We start from the raw sequence: 2552 nt of genomic DNA, 5'->3' as shown, positions 1-2552 counted from the left end.
GAATACATATCACTTGTAGATATGCTAGTGAGTGAAAATAACTTTAGAAATTTCTAATGCCTGGAATTTGTATTATGGCTTAGAAGTGAATCTAATCACATTTTTTTATCCCTTGTGTCTTAGCACCTTTGGTGATTCCAGATAATCTGCAGCCCCACACCTCACTGTTTGAACCAAATGTTGTCTTTGTTTTTTAAAACATGAAAATAAACTCATGGGGAAATTGCACATATGTTCTTTATGTTTGTAATCATTTCACGTATATTTTTTCTTTTTCACTGACAAGATGACAAGAATCCAAAGAAGAGGTGAGTCATAATTTATTTTGGATGTGGGGCCCTAGTAAACAATTTATGTTGATCTCTGGGGTTGCAGCTCCTTCCCCCAGTAACAGGCTCTGTTATAAGCATTTCAAGCCAATTTGACCAATCACTTCCTGATTTTAAGCCTGTTCTGTTCTTTTAAAAATCAACAATTCTATTTTCTTTCTATTACTACATCTCCATTTCTCATTTTTGCAGGTCCCACATGAATTGACAAACTCATGGAATTTCTGGTTCCTAACTCTAGAAATATGTATACCCTTTTACTATGGAAATTTCCAAACATGAACAAAAGCAGAGCTAATAGGACAGTGTTCCCAATACCAAGCTTCAGTGATTATCATTACTCATTTTGTCCCATCGTCCCCCTGATTTTTTTTTGTGGGGGGCAGGTGTGGGGCTGTACTGAGAGGCCAATCCTAGACATTGTGTCCTTTCACCTGCGTGTTTCTCCAGTAGACAACCAGTCCATGGCATTTCAAAACTTAGATTTCTTATTAGATGCAGAGTCCTCCTCCTTTCCTTTACCCCCAGAGTAGGAGAGTGTGGTTCTCTGCTGGGGTCTGTCCCACAGACCCTGACCCAACAGCGGATGAATAACATACACTGACACAGATACTATGCTTGTCAGTCCAGCTGAGGGTCCAGGCCACTTACAGACTCCAAGGAGAGTACTGTAAAGAGTTGCAGCTGCTGCCCTGACTAGCTGGCCCTGCTGGCATTTATTCAGCACACATTAAATGACAAAGACTTTGAGTCAACACCATTAGAGGGTAATCAGCCTTCAACCTGGTCGCCCCCCAACCCCAACAGCGAGAGAGCCATCCTGCCCGTGAATGATCAAAGGTTAGTTTTAGGACCACCAGAGTAAACAATTTATTTAGATAAACTCCTCTACATTCCTATGTATCTACTCTAAGTTATTTACTCAAGGTAAGGATTAGGCTACTTTCAGCCATAACCCTATCCTGAGACTTCTGCAGAAACCTTCTGGCCTTCCAAGAAGATTTGTGTCTATATCCTATAACTTCACCTTAAAATTTTTCCCATCAGCCTGACTGAACTCCCACAGGTCTCCAGCAATTTGGCTTGGGAAGGAAGAACATGCCCCCCAACCCTCCACCACCGACCCCACGAACACCTCTTGTGTCCTTCTTCCCTGTGTGAATCCATGTGGACTGCAGGAGTGGGGCAGGAAAGAGGGAGGGGGAAAGTCAGGTGACTTCTTGCATGGTCACCCTTGACAAAGGCATCTTTTCTCTGCTGCTTGTCCCTGCTCCTTCTTGTTGGCACCGAGGGCCCTCTGTTCTCTCCTCATCATGGGCATCTGAATGCTGTCTCAACAGGGACAGTTACCAAATCTGTTTTCTATTGATGCTGTAACAAATCACAGACTCAGTGACTTAAGCCAATACATATGTAGTATTTTTCAGCTCTGGAGGTCAGAAGTCCTAAACAGGTGTCACTGGACTGAAATCAAGGTGTTGGCAGGGCTGCATTCTTTCCAGAGGTGTGAGGTGAGTGGCAATTTCATTTTTCCATCTTCTGGAAGGTACCTGTGGTCCCTTCCTTTAGCTTCACCGTCAGCCTTAGCATCTTCTGCCTCTCTCTGGCTGCTGCTTCTATTCTCACGTCTCCTTCTCTGACTTCCACCCTTCTGCCTCCTCTTTATGAAGTTGCCTGTGATTACACTGGGCCACCCAGATAATCCAGGATAATCTCCCCAACCGCAAGATCCTTAATCACTTCTCCACAGTCCCAGTGACCCTTTGAGGGTACCTGTATGTACAGGTTCTGGGAATTAGGGCATGGATAATTTTGGGAGGGACTTTATTCTTTCTAACATACCAAATGTTCCCAACAGGGCAGAGTTCCCCTATAGGGACCTCCCTCTGCAGAATGCCTGGATCATGGTAGTCTCTTTTCTGGTTTGGGTCACTCCATCCTCATGGGGTATGGCCTGGTAACATTCATTATTTGGGTCTCTGCTCTTCTTACCCTCCCCACCCTGAATCCAGACCCACACTGGGGTTCACTCAACAATGCTATCTCCCCCATCCCCAGATGGTAGTTTGTGACTTTCAAGAGGCCAGGTGGACCCTCCAGTCTCAGGCTGCCCCATGCCCCTCTCTACCTTCTGTCACACTGCAGCTCTCAACACCAGCTGAAATTAATCTTGTTCACATCTCTGCTTCCTTGCTTATTGTCTGTCCACCCAGATTTCCACAT

General features: G+C 44.8%; 1 annotated feature.

Annotated features, from left to right (window-relative positions):
* Nucleotides 826–1380: an enhancer, noted in NCBI's record as "OCT4-NANOG hESC enhancer chr8:140294263-140294817 (GRCh37/hg19 assembly coordinates)". NCBI's record gives its function as "activates a minimal SCP1, AML or CMV promoter by ChIP-STARR-seq in naive H9 embryonic stem cells {active_cell/tissue: H9 hESC(naive)}" and the evidence as "EXISTENCE:reporter gene assay evidence [ECO:0000049][PMID:30033119]".

The sequence above is a fragment of the Homo sapiens genome, chromosome 8 (assembly GCF_000001405.40).
Source record: "Homo sapiens chromosome 8, GRCh38.p14 Primary Assembly".
Classification (NCBI taxonomy): Eukaryota; Metazoa; Chordata; class Mammalia; order Primates; family Hominidae; genus Homo; species Homo sapiens.
Note: the sequence above shows the minus strand (reverse complement) of the source record. Positions and strands in the feature narration are given on the sequence as shown.